This window comes from Homo sapiens, chromosome 4, assembly GCF_000001405.40.
Source record: "Homo sapiens chromosome 4, GRCh38.p14 Primary Assembly".
Classification (NCBI taxonomy): domain Eukaryota; kingdom Metazoa; phylum Chordata; class Mammalia; order Primates; family Hominidae; genus Homo; species Homo sapiens.
In genome coordinates, this window is record NC_000004.12 from 61642246 (window position 1) to 61661009 (window position 18764).

General features: G+C 35.5%; 1 protein-coding gene across 59 annotated transcripts in view, besides 2 other annotated features; it reads left to right on the forward strand.

Annotated features, from left to right (window-relative positions):
* ADGRL3 (adhesion G protein-coupled receptor L3) overlaps nt 1–18764 on the forward strand; it is an 878010-nt gene that overhangs the window by 441920 nt on the left and 417326 nt on the right. The window lies entirely within an intron of this gene.
* Nucleotides 4129–4743: an enhancer, noted in NCBI's record as "OCT4-NANOG-H3K27ac-H3K4me1 hESC enhancer chr4:62512092-62512706 (GRCh37/hg19 assembly coordinates)". NCBI's record gives its function as "activates a minimal SCP1, AML or CMV promoter by ChIP-STARR-seq in naive H9 embryonic stem cells {active_cell/tissue: H9 hESC(naive)}" and the evidence as "EXISTENCE:reporter gene assay evidence [ECO:0000049][PMID:30033119]".
* Nucleotides 4744–5358: an enhancer, noted in NCBI's record as "OCT4-NANOG-H3K27ac-H3K4me1 hESC enhancer chr4:62512707-62513321 (GRCh37/hg19 assembly coordinates)". NCBI's record gives its function as "activates a minimal SCP1, AML or CMV promoter by ChIP-STARR-seq in naive H9 embryonic stem cells {active_cell/tissue: H9 hESC(naive)}" and the evidence as "EXISTENCE:reporter gene assay evidence [ECO:0000049][PMID:30033119]".

Genomic DNA, 18764 nt, shown 5'->3' on the forward strand with positions numbered 1-18764 from the left:
ACTCTGATGGCAGTTTCTTTTGCTGTGCAGAAGCTCTTTACTTTAATTAGATCCCATTTGTCAATTCTGGCTTTGGTTGCCATTGCTTTTGGTGTTTTAGACATGAAGTCCTTGCCCATGCCTATGTCCTGAATGGTAATGCCTAGGTTTTCTTCTAGGGTTTTTATGGTTTTAGGTCCAAGGTTTAAGTCTTTAATCCATCTTGAATTGATTTTTGTATAAGGTGTAAGGAAGGGATCCAGTTTCAGCTTTCTACATGTGGCTAGCCAGTTTTCCCAGCACCATTTATTAAATAGGGAATCCTTTCCCCATTGCTTGTTTTTGTCAGGTTCGTCAAATATCAGATAGTTGTAGATATGCGGCGTTATTTCTGAGGGCTCTGTTCTGTTCCATTGATCTATATCTCTATTTTGGTACCAGTACCATGCTGTTTTGGTTACTGTAGCCTTGTAGTATAGTTTGAAGTCAGGTAGTGTGATGCCTCCAGCTTTGTTCTTTTGGCTTAGGATTGACATGGCGATGTGGGCTCTTTTTTGGTTCCATATGAACTTTAAAGTAGTTTTTTCCAATTCTGTGAAGAAAGTCATTGGTAGCTTGATGGGGATGGCATTGAATCTGTAAATTACCTTAGGCAGTATGGCCATTTTCACGATATTGATTCTTCCTACCCATGAGCATGGAATCTTCTTCCATTTGTTTGTATCCTCTTTTATTTCCTTGAGCAGTGCTTTATAGTTCTCCTTGAAGAGGTCCTTCACGTCCCTTGTAAGTTGGATTCCTAGGTATTTTATTCTCTTTGAAGCAATTGTGAATGGGAGATCACTCATGATTTGGCTCTCTGTTTGTCTGTTATTGGTGTATAAGAATGCTTGTGATTTTTGTTCATTGATTTTGTATCCTGAGACTTTGCTGAAGTTGCTTATCAGCTTAAGGAGATTTTGGGCTGAGACAATGGGGTTTTCTAGATATACAATCATGTTGTCTGCAAACAGGGACAATTTGACTTCCTCTTTTCCTAATTGAATACCCTTTATTTCCTTCTCCTGCCTAATTGCCCTGGCCAGAACTTCCAACACTATGTTGAGTAGGAGTGGTGAGAGAGGGCATCCCTGTCTTGTGCCAGTTTTCAAAGGGAATGCTTCCAGTTTTTGCCCATTCAGTATGATATTGGCTGTGGGTTTTTCATAGATAGCTCTTATTATTTTGAAATACGTCCCATCAATACCTAATTTATTGAGAGTTTTTAGCATGAAGGGTTGTTGAATTTTGTCAAAGGACTTTTTTGCATCTATTGAGATAATCATGTGGTTTTTGTCTTTGGTTCTGTTTATATGCTGGATTACATTTATTGATTTGCGTATATTGAACCAGCCTTGCATCCCAGGGATGAAGCCCACTTGATCATGGTGGATAAGCTTTTTGATGTGCTGCTGGATTCGGTTTGCCAGTATTTTATTGAGGATTTTTGCATCAATGTTCATCAAGGATATTGGTCTAAAATTCTCTTTTTTGGTTGTGTCTCTGCCCGGCTTTGGTATCAGGATGATGCTGGCCTCATAAAATGAGTTAGGGAGGATTCCCTCTTTTTCTATTGATTGGAATAGTTTCAGAAGGCATGGTACCAGTTCCTCCTTTTACCTCTGGTAGAATTCGGCTGTGAATCCATCTGGTCCTGGACTCTTTTTGGTTGGTAAGCTATTGATTATTGCCACAATTTCAGATCCTGTTATTGGTCTATTCAGAGATTCAACTTCTTCCTGGTTTAGTCTTGGGAGAGTGTATGTGTCGAGGAATGTATCCATTTCTTCTAGATTTTCTAGTTTATTTGCGTAGAGGTGTTTGTAGTATTCTCTGATGGTAGTTTGTATTTCTGTGGGATCGGTGGTGATATCCCCTTTATCATTTTTTATTGTGTCTATTTGATTCTTCTCTCTTTTTTTCTTTATTAGTCTTGCTAGCGGTCTATCAATTTTGTTGAACCTTTCAAAAAACCAGCTCCTGGATTCATTAATTTTTTGAAGGGTTTTTTGTGTCTCTATTTCCTTCAGTTCTGCTCTGATTTTAGTTATTTCTTGCCTCCTGCTAGCTTTTGAATGTGTTTGCTCTTGCTTTTCTAGTTCTTTTAATTGTGATGTTAGGGTGTCAATTTTAGATCTTTCCTGCTTTCTCTTGTGGGCATTTAGCGCTATAAATTTCCCTATACACACTGCTTTGAATGCGTCCCAGAGATTCTGGTATGTTGTGTCTTCTCTTTGGTTTCAAAGAACATCTTTATTTCTGCCTTCATTTCTTTATGTACCCAGTAGTCATTCAGGAGCAGCTTGTTCAGTTTCCATGTAGTTGAGCGGTTTTGCGTGAGATTCTTAATCCTGAGTTGTAGTTTGATTGCACTGTGGTCTCAGAGATAGTTTGTTATAATTTCTGTTCTTTTACATTTGCTGAGAAGAGCTTTACTTCCAAGTATGTGGTCAATTATGGAATAGGTGTGGTTTGGTGCTGAAAAAATGTATATTCTGTTGATTTGGGGTGGAGAGTTCTGGAGATGTCTATTATGTCCGCTTGGTATAGAGCTGAGTTCAATTCCTGGGTATCCTTGTTGACTTTCTGTCTCGTTGATCTGTCTAATGTTGACAGTGGGGTGTTAAAGTCTCCCATTATTAATGTGTGGGAGTCTAAGTCTCTTTGTAGGTCACTCAGGACTTGCTTTATGAATCTGGGTGCTCCTGTATTGGGTGCATATATATTTAGGATAGTTAGCTCTTCTTGTTGAATTGATCCTTTACCATTATGTAATGGCCTTCTTTGTCTCTTTTGATCTTTGTTGGTTTAAAGTCTGTTTTATCAGAGACTAGGATTGCAACCCCTGCCTTTTTTTGTTTTCCATTTTTTTTGGTAGATCTTCCTCCATGTTTTTATTTTGAGCCTATGTGTATCTCTGCACATGAGATGGGTTTTCTGAATACAGCACACTGATGGGTCTTGGCTCTTTATCCAATTTGCCAGTCTGTGTCTTTTAATTGGAGCATTTAGTCTATTTACATTTAAAGTTAATATTGTTATGTGTGAATTTGATCCTGTCATTATGATGTTAGCTGGTGATTTTGCTCGTTAGTTGATGCAGTTTCTTCCTAGTCTCGATGGTCTTTACATTTTGGCATGATTTTGCAGCGGCTGGTACCGGTTGTTCCTTTCCATGTTTAGCGCTTCCTTCAGGAGCTCTTTTAGGGCAGGCCTGGTGGTGACAAAATCTCTCAGCATTTGCTTATCTGTAAAGTATTTTATTTCTCCTTCACTTATGAAGCTTAGTTTGGCTGGATATGAAATTCTGGGTTGAAAATTCTTTTCTTTAACAATGTTGAATATTGTCCCCCACTCTCTTCTGGCTTGTAGAGTTTCTGCCGAGAGATCCACTGTTAGTCTGATGGGCTTCCCTTTGAGGGTAACCCGACCTTTCTCTCTGGCTGCCCTTAACATTTTTTCCTTCATTTCAACTTTGGTGAATCTGACAATTATGTGTCTTGGAGTTGCTCTTCTTGAGGAATATCTTTGTGGCGTTCTCTGTATTTCCTGAGTCTTAATGTTGGCCTGCGTTGCTAGAATGGGGAAGTTCTCCTGGATAATATCCTGCAGAGTGTTTTCCAACTTGGTTCCATTCTCCCCATCACTTTCAGGTACACCAATCAGACATGGATTTGGTTTTTTCACATAGTCCCATATTTCTTGGAGGCTTTGCTCGTTTCTTTTTATTCTTTTTTCTCTAAACTTCCCTTCTCGCTTCATTTCATTCATTTCATCTTCCATCGCTGATACCCTTTCTCCAGTTGATGGCATCGGCTCCTGAGGCCTCTGCATTCTTTACGTAGTTCTCGAGCCTTGGTTTTCAGCTCCATCAGCTCCTTTAAGCACTTCTCTGTATTGGTTATTCTAGTTATACATTCTTCTAAATTTTTTTCAAAGTTTTCAACTTCTTTGCCTTTGGTTTGAATGTCCTCCCCTAGCTCGGAGTAATTTGATCGTCTGAAGCCTTCTTCTCTCAGCTCGTCAAAGTCATTCTCCATCCAGCTTTGTTTCGTTGCTGGTGAGGAACTGCGTTCCTTTGGAGGAGGAGAGGCACTCTGCTTTTTAGAGTTTCCAGTTTTTCTGCTCTGTTTTTTCCCCATCTTTGTGGTTTTATCTACTTTTGGTCTTTGATGATGGTGATGTACAGATGGGTTTTTGGTGTGGATGTCCTTTCTGTTTGTTATCTAACAGACAGGACCCTCAGCTGCAGGTCTGTTGGAGTACTGGGCCCTGTGAGGTGTCAGTCTGCCCGTACTGAGGGGTGCCTCCCAGTTAGGCTGTTCGGGGGTCAGGGGTCAGGGACCCACTTGAGGAGGCAGTCTGCCCGTTCTCAGATCTCCAGCTGCGTGCTGGGAGAACCACTGCCCTCTTCAAAGCTGTCAGACAGGGACACTTAAGTCTGCAGAGGTTACTGCTGTCTTTTTGTTTGTCTGTGCCCTGCCCCCAGAGGTGGAGCCTACAGAGGCAGGCAGGCCTCCTTGAGCTGTGGTGGGCTCCACCCAGTTTGAGCTTCCCAGCTGCTTTGTTTACCTAATCAAGCCTGGGCAATGGCGGGCGCCCCTCCCCCAGCCTGGCTGCCGAATTGCAGTTTGATCTTAGACTGCTGTGCTAGCAATCAGCGAGACTCCGTGGGCGTAGGACCCTCCGAGCCAGGTGCGGATATAATCTCCTGGTGCGCCGTTTTTTAAGCCGGTAGGAAAAGCGCAGTCTTCGGGTGGGAGTCACTCGATTTTCCAGGTGCCGTCCATCACCCCTTTCTTTGACTAGGAAAGGGAACTCCCTGACCCCTTGTGCTTCCCGAGTGAGGCAATGCCTCGCCCTGCTTCAGCTCCTGCGCGGTGCACTGCACCCACTGGCCTGCGCCCACTGTCTGGCACTCCCTAGTGAGATGAACCCGGTACCTCAGATGGAAATGCAGAAATCACCCGTCTTCTGCGTGGCTCACGCTGGGAGCTGTAGACCAGAGCTTTTCCTATTCGGCCATCTTGGCTCCTCCCCGATTTAACTTTTAAAATTGCCTAAAAACTTTGGTTTCATCACTTTGAATTTACAGACGAAAAAATTAAAATTAATTGAGTTTTATTATCTTAGAAAGACAGTAGAACTAGGGTTTGTCCCCATATCTGAGTACCTGTTTTTTCACACATTGGTAGACAACAATATAAAATCGTGACTTTATGCTGCATTGAAGTCTCATTGATGGTTTGTACGTGAGGGGGAAAAAGTATTTTCTTTTGACGTTAGCCTTTTCCTGGTAGGCGTGCCATTCAGATTTTTAGAGGATTATGAGAACATCATTTAAAAAATAAAATTCTGCATAAGAGCTGATATAAATTTATTTTATATTCCAGTGTTTTACATTGATACAGTAATTGTAATATACTGAAATTATCAATAAGAATGCAAAAATTAACAATAGACTTTTCACACTGAAATTCACTTTTTATTGTATAGGAGTAAAAAATTGTATAAGAAATTATATAAATAGAAAACATGCATTTATTAATAGCCCTTTATTTTATTTCCACCAGTTTTCCACTGTAAGTTTTCTTTCTTTCATGGCCTCTCAGATATTGGATATTACTATATTTAAAAGGAAGATTGTAAACTTTCTCCAAAGCAAAATAATCTTCAAGTAAATTTTTATGATCCATAATTTTCCTATTCTGTGGGAAGACGTTTTACCTATAACCACACACACAACATATTCTTATAAAATGTGTATGTTCCATTTCCTTTTATTTCTCATAATAATTCTTTCAGAGAGATTCCACTGAACTGACATGTATTTAAATAATGGCTGTTATTATTTCAATTCCATATGTGCTAATCAGCTGTACCAAAGCTAGGTGAAGGGATAGAAGACACTGTGCACACCCTTTATACTCCTGGAATAAGCTGTATGCTATTTGACTCTAAGTATTCCAGATCTTATACCACCTTAAAAAAATAGAATGGAAATAAAATATGTAAAAGAAGAAATCTTTTATACTTAATCCAGGATTCTAGTGAGTAGCTTTTAAGAGTTAGGAAATGAAATCGGCTTTTTTTTTTTTTTTTTTTTTAATTTGAAGACAACCCTCAATGAGTGATTTTTCTGCTAGGCTGTGTTGAAATGAGAAACATTCCTTTCCAGGTCAGTAAGTTAATCAAGTCCAGGATTTATCTCTTTTGTCATTCATATCAGTCACAGATTAATTTGCATTAGGAATTTTTTTGTTTTTTTTTCTGTTTCTTTTGGGGTTTTTTTTAGATTTTAATAGTCTTTTTCTGTGCTGAGTAATCCTCTTTTTAAGTTTGTGAAACTAAATTTTTAATAAGCTATGCTTCTATTCTCTAACTAGAGGAGAAAGAACAGTCTAGAATATAAAACATCATTGCCTTTCACTAATGAACAGGCAGAAAAATGAGAGAACTGGCATTCTTTTAGTAGCTGCTGTGTGCCAGACACTGTTAAGCACCTTACATATATCATTTCAATTACTTCTCATCTAAACTACTCATCTGGATATTGTTCCGATTTTATTGATGAAGAAATTGAGGCCTAATGGATGTGGTCATTCTTATATATAGTTTTATAATTTAAAATTGTTAGGGACATGATAAGAACACAGTTTTCCATGACTTTGAAGTTATTCCTTTTCAGTATTTTCTATACTATCTTTCTTACTTTTAAGTTTTTCTTTAAATTATGTTTCCCAGCAACCCCAAATCTAATTCCTAAAAGTAACCACTTTTAACAGTCATGTTTTAATGCCACTTATATTTACTATATATAAGAAAATAAGATCTTTATCTACTGATCTGTAACTAGATATTTGCAGTTAAAATGTATTTTGGAAATGCATGCTAGTAAATATAGTTTACTAGCACGCCATTCCTCTTAGTAGTTACATATGGATGTAACATCGCTTATTTGCCAATTTAAAAAAATCAAGTTTATAAATTTTTAAGATAGTATGATAACCAGATATGTATGCCTCTAGGATTTGGTATTATATTAATAAGATGTAGGTTTATAATTAATTCATTCTTAATAGCAGCAACATCTAAATTTACCATATTAAAGGTTTAAGGTTGTAGGTCTTTTTTAATTCTCAGAACCTGTTCGCCTATTGCTTGTATACCTTCAGTCCTCCATAGATTTGTAGGTGGAACTTTGCTCTTTTGTATTTTATTTATTTTCTGGAGATTCTTTACTTCTTTTGCTGGATTTACAGTTTATGTATTTTGTAGAAGAGTTTAGCCTTTTATCATTGTCTTTATTTTGCTAATTGATACTTTTATAACACGTAGCAAAACACAAAACCTCCTCTGGGCTAAATTTAATAATTGGATGTCTTATCATTTTGCATCCTTGTTTGTTTAAAATGAATGTTTAGAGAGACTCCAGTCTCTTTTTTATAGGTAGTAAAATAAGTGTGTCAGTCTTAATATTGTTCAACTAGTCAGCATAATAAGAACCAGAACCAACAGACATGGTACATTTTCTGTATCAGTTATTACCTCTACAAAATATTGACCTGCAAAAATGTGTGTGTATAATATGGACTTGAGTAACAACCCACTTTGCTTTTTTGTTATAGTGACCCTTCATATTTTAGGAGGGAATTGTGATTTTTTGTTCCAGTAGAAGTGACAAAGATTTACTGACTCAGTGTTGCCTAGACTTTACTGTGACATTTTTCAGGATGGGCAAGTGGAGTTAAAGCTGCAGTTTGTTGTCTGGCTGTTTCCTGCTCTTTTGGAAGAATACTGCAATCAGTAACTGTGGGAAAGTGGCGGAACATTTTAGGGCAACTAAATCTACTGAGAGAAATAATGTTATTTAATATTTGTCTTCAACAAGAGTAGATGTTTTATATGCCATCCTATAAGGATGTATACTGTAAATTTATTAAGCAGGATAATTTTTTTTGTAAAAATACCATTTTTAATAAAATAAAATCCTATTTTTAGAAACTATAATCAAAATTAGACTGTGATTAATTCTCTCAAAATATTTACTGTATTACTTTTTAAAAAGTAAAATGTAAAAGAAATACATCCTAAGTAACATGAGAAGCAATGAGTAAAAGCATGTTACAATGCTCCCAAAGATTTTTATCAGTTTCAATATGCAGTTATATTATTAACCCTGTGCTCTTATCTTGGCTGAGGTTTCTCCATATTTTTCGTAATGACATATTGTGAAAACTTAAATAGTAAATTTTATTTTTTAACACTTTTACTCACAGTATTGAAGAGCTTGGAATCCTAGCTCTTGTGGTGGTGGTGGTGTTTTATTTTCTTTAAATATATTTTCTGGGTTCTTTTCCTTTCTTTTTTTTGAGGGTGGGGAATTATGAGATTCTTTGTCATAAAATTGACTACCAAGTAAGCTAAATGAGTAAATAGTAATAATTTGACAGAGGTCTTTATAAACGGAGGAGGACAACTTGACTTTCCAACTGCAAGGTTGTGATTAGAGTGCATACTTCACCTGAACCATAGTACATAAAAATGAAAATGAAATAATTATGAAAATAATGAAAGTGAATATGGTTTCTAGGTTTATAAATGAAGCAGGAGTGAGCTGACAATACTCATGTTTATTTTGAGCAACAAATGATTAATAATTTTAGGAAGGATATCTTTTGAATGTTTTTGTTGTTGGACAAAAATAAAAAGAATAATGGAAAATAGTAAGGAATCAAGGAAATGACAAAGAGATTTAAATAAGTAATCTATCACTCATACTCAGCCTCAATTCTTATGATTCTTAGGGCAAAATTAAATATTTTTCTATTTACTTGGCAGTTTAAAAAGGTTCGGAAGAAAAGTTCTAGCTTATGGAGGCATTTTCTATATGAGAAAAGCATAGAAATCTTAAAAAATTGTTAATTGTCCATTAAAAAGTGGAAATTACTCTATTTTTGGGATCATATTGCAAGAATAATTGCTATCTCCAAACAGCACAAATGGGATAAGAAAAGCGAATAAAGGTACACCATAAATATAAGTCTTTCATGTTTATTCTGATTCCTAAATCATAAAATATCACTAAATATATGTATATTATTTCCTAAATCAAAAATTACCAAAATTCCTGTGCCTTTAACTGCTATATGAAAGCACTTCTAATTGCAGTAGCCTTATCAGCATCCTTAGTTTTGAAAATATATCCCAAGTGGTAATGCTTCTGCAATTTGGAATCAAAACTCCTTATAGACTAGTATTTGTTTGGGGGAGGGCTTAAAATATCATTGAGTAATGTTTTCAAAATAAATAAATTTTTTTTGTGTGTTTGTTTTGTTTTTGTTTTTGTTTCTGTTTTTTTTTGAGACGGAGTTTCGCTCTGTCACCAGGCTGGAGTGCAGTGGCGTGATCTCGGCTCACTGCAACCCCCGCCTCCTGTGTTCAAGCAATTCCCTCGCCTCAACCTCCTGAGTAGCTGGGACTACAGGCTCATGCCACCAGGCCCAGCTATTTTTTTTTTTTTTTTTGTATTTTAGTAGAGACGGGGTTTCACCATATTGGCCAGGATGACCTCGATCTCCTGACCTAGTGATCTGCCTGCCTTGCCTCCCAAAGTGCTGGGATTACAGGAGGGAGCCACCGAACCTGGCCCAAAATAAATAACTTTTAAAGGTCATTTTAATAATGTTTAAAAACAAAATTTGTATTAAAAAAAGAAAAAATGTATTAAGCCAAAAATGAAGAATTAGATTAAGTATTCATTGTTAACAATTTTGTTCTGACATAGTTTCCATGTGCATATTGAAAAGGAATGTATTTAACACCCTCTAAAAGAACTGGAAAAAATGTGTAAGAGAAAACATAGCTTATTTTCTCTATTTTGGCAAGCATTCAAAGAGTGGCCTATAGTGTAGATAACTTCATCAGAATATCAGGAGGTTTTTTTAAGATACCAAGATAATGCATGGAGTGCAAAGTTTTATAATTAAAATAGGATTTTGTTCATATTATTTCATAAAATTTTGAATTATAGAATTTTAGCATTACTTTTACTTATATTTTTTACCCAGTCTGAAGATTAAAGATACATATTATTGTTGAAACCATCATGAAAGTTTCTTTGGATTAATTGATTAAATAAAGCGGAGGTCAGCAAGCAATGGTCATCATTATGAACTAAGCCTGTTTCAACACACTTTATGTGTTTATTGCTTTCTTGCTACAGTGACAGAGTTGAATAATTATAATATAACCCATCTCTCCTACATGACCTAAAATATTTACTATCTGAACTTTTAACAAAAACTCATGCTGACCTCTGAAATATTAATAAATACATGCTATACATACATCATCAGCCATATTATGGTGTATATTTAAAAAATCATTTTGTAGAAAAGCATCTGGACACCTGTATGCTCACCTAAGATTATTTCCATATATGCTTCCCTGAACTACAACATTTATATTTCTGTCATAATTATAACCACTTTTTCCCCCTGTAAGAACAGGTTTCATAAAACTGCTATTAATAGAATAATTAATGCTTTAATCAACTACTGAGCATTTGCTATAGGCAGAAAAATGTGTTAAATACTAATGATATGGAAGTGAATAATGTTCACAATCCAGTGGGAGGGTCATTGATAATATAAATCAATCCATGCTGCTATGCACTGAATAATGTCTGCATCTCCCCACCCTTCCCCCCGGCCATATTGATATGTTGAAACACTAAACCCCAATGTAACTGTTTTGGATGAAATGAGTAAGTTTAACCTTAACTTATTTAAGGTTAAATGAGGTCATAAGGGCAGGGTTCTAATACAATAGGATTAGTGGCCTTATAAGAAGAGAAAGAGAAAGCCTCTCTCTCTCTCTCTCTCTGTCTCTCTCTCTCTCTCTCTCACACACACACACACACACACACACACACACACACACAGAGCCATATGAGAACATAGAAAGAATGCAACTGTTTGCAAGCCAGGTAGAGAGCCCTCACCAGAAACCAAGCCTGCTGGGCCTTGCACTGGGACTTGTAGCTTTCAGAACTGTAAGAAACAAAGTTATGTTATTTAAGCTTCCCTGTCTGCGGCATTTTGTTATGGCAGCCTGAACTGACTAAAATATATGCGTTGTACGCCCAAGACAAAATGGAGTTTGGCTGGAAGGAGCCACAACTATTCAGGACTCTCAGTTGCAAGGAGTTCAGACCTAACTAAAAATGCCTTAGAGAGAAGGAAATTTCTCTTTTAATGGAAAAGTCCAGGGTTTAACTAGCTTTGGGTATCTCTTCATTTGAGTATTACTTCATCAAGTGATGTAATCAGAAACCTGTCTTCCTCCACTTCTTTTGTCCTTTGTATTGGGCTTCATTTTTAGGTACACATACTGTCCCTCAGCACTACCAGATTTATTTGATTAACCTTTCAAACAGAGTTTTAAGATAACCAGCAAACTTTTTTCCATTGTTTTTAGCAAAATCTCCAGATTTGGATATCATTCACCTCTCTTGGATTGCATGCCTATTCCTAAACCAATCACAGTGACGAGGGACATGAAGTGGGCGCACATGGGTCACATACCTGCGCAGATAGAGAATATGAATAAGTGACTTTCCAGAGAAAAATCCAGGTGTTCTTATAGGAGTAAATACTAGGTAGGCAAATAGATGTCGCTACATTCAATTAGCCTAAAAGCTGTTGTTCTCAAGAAACTTCAATAGTATACTAGTTCCATATATTTAGGATTTCCTCCAGTGACATTTTTTAAGATATTTTGGGCTAAAAAGAATGTAACTTTTGTGTTAGGCAACATACATGGGAAAAGTATTCTGCAGGAGAGGATTATACTAACTGCAATTTTTTTGCTAAATTTTTAATTTCTCATATTATGTACCTACTGGTAGTTAGTTAATTCAGAAATTTGAAACTTCCAACAAATATTTTGGTTTTTGTAATATCTCTGATAGTGGAAATGTCATAATTTGTATTGAATGTGACTTTTTTATTTAAAAATTTTTGAATTTTTTCTTAACATTAAAAATTTTACAAAACTCTATATCAAATTTGGATATGCGTACAAATATAGCATGATTTTAATATTACATTTGATTCTTTTTACTCATTATTAACTATGGGGTAATTTTAAGCATTTCCAGATGAATATATAAAATTGTTAATATGCTGTAGGGATGTACTGTCTTTAAATTAAATGTTAAAAGGATTTTAACACTTCTGTACTTTTTAGAATTGTATTCCATTTTATGTTCTATTATTTTTTAAAATAAAAATAATTATGAAATTTGTATTATATAGTAATAATACCTGAGCCTACTTTTAAAGAAACTAGGCTGGGTGTGGTGGTTGAAGCCTGTAATCCCCGCACTTTGGGAGGCCAAGGTGGGCAGATCACGAGGTCAGGAGTTCAAAACCAGCCCAGCCAAGATGGTGAAACCCCATCTCTACTAAAAATACAAAAATTAGCCGGGTGTGATGGCAGGTGCCTGTAATCCTAGTTACTCGGGAGGCTGAGGCAGGAGAATTGCTTGAACCCATGCGGCAGAGGTTGCAGTGAGCCGAGATCTCACTACTGCACTCCAGCTTGGGCAACAGAGCGAGACTCCATCTCAAAAAGAAAAAAGAAAACAGAAAAAATAAACTTTATTCTTTAACTCATGTACGTAAGTCTATAGAAAGAAATGAGGATGAAACAGTGTTTTGAGGAAATAATTATCTAAGACTTATGACTTTTCTAAATGAGTTGTCTTTTCATTATTATTATTTTATGTGTGACTCTTACTATCAGCTGTATTAAAATATAATAATATTGTGTTCTTTGTGGCCAGCAGTGTACTCACACATAGTATATGACTTGCCTTTAGGGTTCATACAGCAACCCTATCAAGTATGGGTACAATTAAGATCTACACTACGTAGATGAGTTTGAAGACTAGATGAGGTTAAGTAACTTGTAAGCTATAATAGCTGACAAGTGACTAAGAATTCATATTCAAGTTTGCCTAATTTCTAAGAGAATATTTTTAACGGATACAAGCCTGCCTCTCTGCTTCTGTGATGCAATTTGAAAATTATACATTCAAAAAGCACTTTAATAAAAGCAAAAGTATATATATAAATTTTTTCACTAGTAAATTATTTATTATTTTCTTTAACAGTAATGTTTTCTCATGCTTACCCATCAGTCATCAGTATTAACTATAATAAATTAAATTAAAAGTAAAAAATACACTTTGAAAAAAACAGAAATACACTTACACTTGGAAAAAATTAAGCTAAAGTTTGAGTTGTTTTTATGTAAATGTCCGTCTTTCTTGTTTAGCATTTTGGCTCAAAGCTGGGGTTGTGGTCAGTAGCAAGAAGGTCGTCATTTTTCTCTTAATTGATAGATTCATTCAAAAAGTTTTCTAATCAGTGATTTCCATCTGCTGAGTGGTATGGGAAATTGTGATATAAAATGGCAAACTATACTTTCACATGAATGAAGTTCCCAAATAAGATTTGTTTTAGTTCTTAGAGAACTCTAAGTGTACAGTAAACTTGAATTTAATTCAAACGAAACAAATAGAATGTTTGTATCTTTAAATTTTGAGTAGAGACATATTTTTCTTTAAATTCCTGATATTCTAGATATATTTGGAATGTGGTTACTCACTGATATTAAAAAGAAAAATACCTGTTTCCTTGTCAATGTTGAAATTCAGGATTGGTGGTTGACTTAGTTTTCTCTGTTACGTTTTCCCCAGTGGCTTGCAATGCATTTTCTTAATCACAGGTTTTTGATGTTGAAGTAAAGCATTAGATGCTTACTTTGTTGCCAAAAGGTCAATAAAATGAAAGGGCAGTGTTCTAGTAAGGCATACTTTTCATCTTTCAGTAGACAATAACACATATTTTATGAATGCTTCTTAATGCTATCTTTTGGTGCTATCACATATTTGTGACTGTAATACAGGATCTTAAAATGTCTTTAAAAACTTAGTATGACTCAGATTATGATTTCTATATGAAGCTAAACTTATATGTGACCATTTGTTGAGTGAAAAAGAAAAGTACAATGAAGGTACTTTTTTTTGTGGGGGGGGTGAAATATACAAAAGCCACATTCTGTGAGGCTTTTGTTCATTGTTGCATGCAATGGCCTCAAGAAGTCCTTGAAGATTAGGGTAAATACTTATTGAGACCAATATTCCTTAGTTTTGGAATCCAAGCTTTGAAACCACAGGTAAAAAATGACTATATAAGGGAGCTATTTGGTTCCTGGGTAAAATGAAAGTCAAGAAAAGATTTTTCTAAAGATATTTGAAAGGCATGCAAAAGATTTTATTTTGTTTTGTTTTTTACAAAAGGTATTTGTGTAAATTCTGGCAAGTTGAGATGTAGCTGTTGTATGCTACATTCTGAGACTGGGTCACTACTGACAGAAAGGAAATCCAATGTAGGATTTAGGGAGTTACAGTAAAACAATGAATTTTCTAGCTTTAACCGTATTTTCACTCAGCATATACCATCATGCTTGCTAGTTGACTAATTGTTCATGTCAATTTAAACATTTTAGATGTCCATTTGGACATTTCAGCTGCTTAATTTTTCTCTGTTGCTATTTTCTCTCTCTGTTAAACTTCTGCTGCATTTCTAAGCTGGCATGCTCTTAATGGCAGTCTCCCAGTATTCCTTTCCCCTTGCAAAAGCAGCAAACACATCCTTCAGTTTGCACACTCTTGCCAAATGTCTATTCTTTTGATACTTTTTATTTGCAAACGTGTTTATTTATCAAATGGATTAAAATGCTTGAAATACAGTAGCCAATAAAAAACATGTGTTTTTCCCCTCTCTGCTCTTGTGATTGTACTTCACTCTTAGAGTTCTCCATTTTCCCCATCATTTTTATATAACTTGCTTCCAACTGAGAATCCATAAGAGTGACTTTCCCTTAAGCTGACGCAGGTATTGCTCTATAATTAGACTATAGGGAATGCTGCAGAAGGAAACAGCCACCTTCTTTCATGCCTAAAGGGACTGTCATCCCTGCAGCACACTCAAACTTCATATCCCCCAAGAGCCCCAATTGCAGACATAGATACATAGATATACATATATGTCTATATATATATATGCCTTAGGTAAATAAATGTTTATTTATCATTTCATATGTTCAAAATATATTGTCAATCAATGGTAACTCAAATCAATATCTGAGAGTATGGGAATTTTATTCACATAGGTATTGTTCTCTCTATAGATTCAGTTTTTTTAATGGGATATAAAAATTCTCATTTAACACCAAGAGTCAACAAACAAAATTGTCTTTTTAATACTATACTTAACCAACTACAGTTACCTGAACATTTCTAAAATTTTATTTCTGAGAAAGTCAAGGCCTTCTGAATAATTTTGAAAATGTCCGCTTGCTTTGGAGAAAAAAGCAAACAACAATGAAACATTCAAATTTTATAAATGTATGCATATTGCATTGGAAAGGGCTAAACATTTCAGACATATCTGTTAGAAAACCAAATGAATGCCCAAGTTATTCCTTTTGACATCAGAGGTTGAGATTTAGACTAAATCTCTTAGGGACTGCAATAAACATTGGAGAGGAAGAGGGAGGAGTGCTTCTATCTGCCCCCATGGCACATTCTAGCATGGTATTGCAGAGGATCAAATGCTTGATGAAAGACACTGGAGGTTTGGTAGCAGCAATTCAGTGCTCTTACTGTATGCAAATCAACACACAACCAGTAAGTCATTTGTCATTTTCCTAAAGTCAGTCCACCATAATTTATGCTTCTTTTTGTATTCTTTTTCTTCATGGGTTGCACCACCATCCATTCATATTCCAAAGCTGGAGCCCACCTTATTCCCTCCCTCCTTTTAACTCCTGACATTTCAACTAATTATTAAGACTTGCCAATTTTCCACCTTAAATATTTCTTGACTTTACTTATTTTTTCCATCTCCATTATGAGCTCCTTAAGCCTTCAGGCCTGTGCTGTACCAATTCATTTTCTACAAAAATGACAGGCTTACCTGGATCAAAAGCAGTGAGACTGTATTGTTCCTTGCTTATAACATATTCTGTGATTCCATATAATCAGCTATATCAGTCCAGGCTCATATAATTATTAGCTGGATAACCTTTACATAAATAACATAATTTCTCTAAGCCTTAGTTTTTTTCACTTAAATGGTCCCAGTAGAGTCATTTTGAAGATTACACAAGATAAGTTAAGGAAAACATATTGCATAGTGTTGGACACAGTGAAAGTGATGAACGTGTGTTAGTAACTATTAGTTATTAACATGTTATATACAATCTCTGTATTTGAGCCTTGCTTACCTTTCAACCTTTTCTCTTCTCAGCCTGTGCCTTCTAATCTAAGAGCACAATGACCTCCAGATCACTACGTTACCATCCTGTGTCAATTCCCTTTCTCTTTTTATCTGCCTGCCATGCCTTTTCTACCCTCATTCATTTCATCAAGCTGATTGACACTTGTCCCTTAACAATCAATTCTGGAGTCTCCTCCTTCAGGAAACCTGCCCTGAAAGCCCTTACTCTTCCCAGGTTAGGGACCTGTGTTGGTTTCCTAGAGCTGTTGTAACAAAGTACCACAAACAGGGTAGCTTAAAACAACATAAATTTGCTTTGACAGTTCTAGCGGCTAGAAGTGCTAAGGTATCAGCAAGATACTGTTTTAGAAGGTTCTAGGGAAGAATCATTGTTTGCCTCTTCTTAGCTTTTGGTTGTGGCTGTTAATCCTTAGCATTCTTTGACTTGCAGCTGCATCTTTCCAATCTCTGCCTCTATTACCACATGACATTCTCCCTGTGCGTCTCTGTATCTGCATCCAAATTTCCCTCTTCTTATAAGGACACTGGTAAAATTGGATTGAGGGCCTACCCTATTCCAGTATGACCTCATCTTAATTACATCTGCAACAAGTTTATTTCTAAGTAACATCATATTCTGAGGTCCTGGAGGTTAGCTCTTAAACATATCTTTTTGAGGACTACAATTCAACCTGTAATAGTGACCCTTATTTTCGTATCATCCGTGCATAGATGCACTAAACCTATCATACACTGATAACCTGTCCAGATGCCTGTCCCCTCTAAGAGATACTGAGTTCTTGAAAGCATGTCCCATGTCTAATTTGTATTTGTTCCCAGCAGTGGACACATGGTAGTCTTTTAATACATGTTGATTAAATGAATAATCTAATTTGCTATTTAAAAAACAGGTCTTATGATACAAAAGATTACAAAGATTAAAAATGTCACATAATGTCTGATAACCGGCTTTATATTATCCCATTATTACAGAAAAAGGAAGCAGGAATACCTTGAATCGAGAACAAAGAGAAGTTAGTTCTTTTCCCAGGATCTTCATTGTTCATACAGCCTTGGGGAAATTACTTAATTTCTTCATGCATATCTATAAAATATAAATGAAAGAAATTATAGCTTACATATTCACTTTCAGATATTTATATTTTGCATTTCCCATTTTAGAACCACCAGAGACTCAATTTAATCAGAAAGTAGAGACTACTTATGAAGAGCCTGGTATTCATGCTAGGCTGGGTCATGAAAATCAAGTGAAGATTACAAAAAAAAAAAAAAAAAAAGCTGTAGTGAAGCTGGTTAAGAAGGGATACACCAGAGATTAGGAGGAGCACACATAGGATATGGACTGATTGGATATTGGGGGGACAGAGGAGAAAGATATTCAGGGAGCACTCTCAAATGAATTTGTGTGGAACACACCTTAACCAAATGCCAAACACGATGCTATAGAGGCTGGAATCTAAAAGTTTAGGCTTTAGTTGAATGATATTCCTGAAAAATGTGTGAGGCTTTTTAACGTCTTTCTTCGTGTATGCATACCTCAGTGAGACCTTTTTTGAAATTATGATACTATGTAATTATAAAATATTTACATTTCCTCTACAGTTTCCCACACCATGTTAACTTTGATGTAAGGAGGTAAAGCTCTGTCACAGTCCCTATTGTTTTACATGAGTATAGTAAAACTCAGAAGGATAAAGTTGTTTGCTTGCACAATTGTTACTTTGAAAATTGTCTTTTGATTCAGAATCTTTTTCTTAAAGCATATATGTAATTTTAATCATACTTTCTCTGGCTATACCCACATGTATTCCTTTTTTAAATCTATTTTAAATGAATCGATTTTTATTTAGTCATTATTTATTTGCAAGGAGATCTCCTTAAAGCCAAAAATATTGTTTATGTGGAGATGGAGATGGTTTTAAAGTACAGGCCAATTCTCCCTAACTAAATGGTTTCCTATTTTTGTCTCTGTTAATCAGGAGTATTCTAACTAAGCTGTTGATGAATAAAGTATAATGACATAGTGATATAAAGATTACCATGCATTAATAATCTTAGTAGATGGTGAGCCAGTGTAAAGGAAGAAAAGTGATTTTTACAGTGCTAAGAGGTGTCTTTCTTCTGAGTAACTTTCCACATTAAACCCAATTGATCAAAAATGAAACTGTGTGGTTTGGATGTAGAATACTTTACTTGGTTGCCTGTGTAATCATTTTATTTTACTTAGAATCTAAATTAAAAACGTTAATTAGACCAATTGTCTTTAGAAACCCTGTTTTGTTTATACCTTTTCAAATAACTTACTTTTTACTATTTTTAAGTATGATCATATATATCTTAGATTCAGTAACCCATCATTTATTGAATATG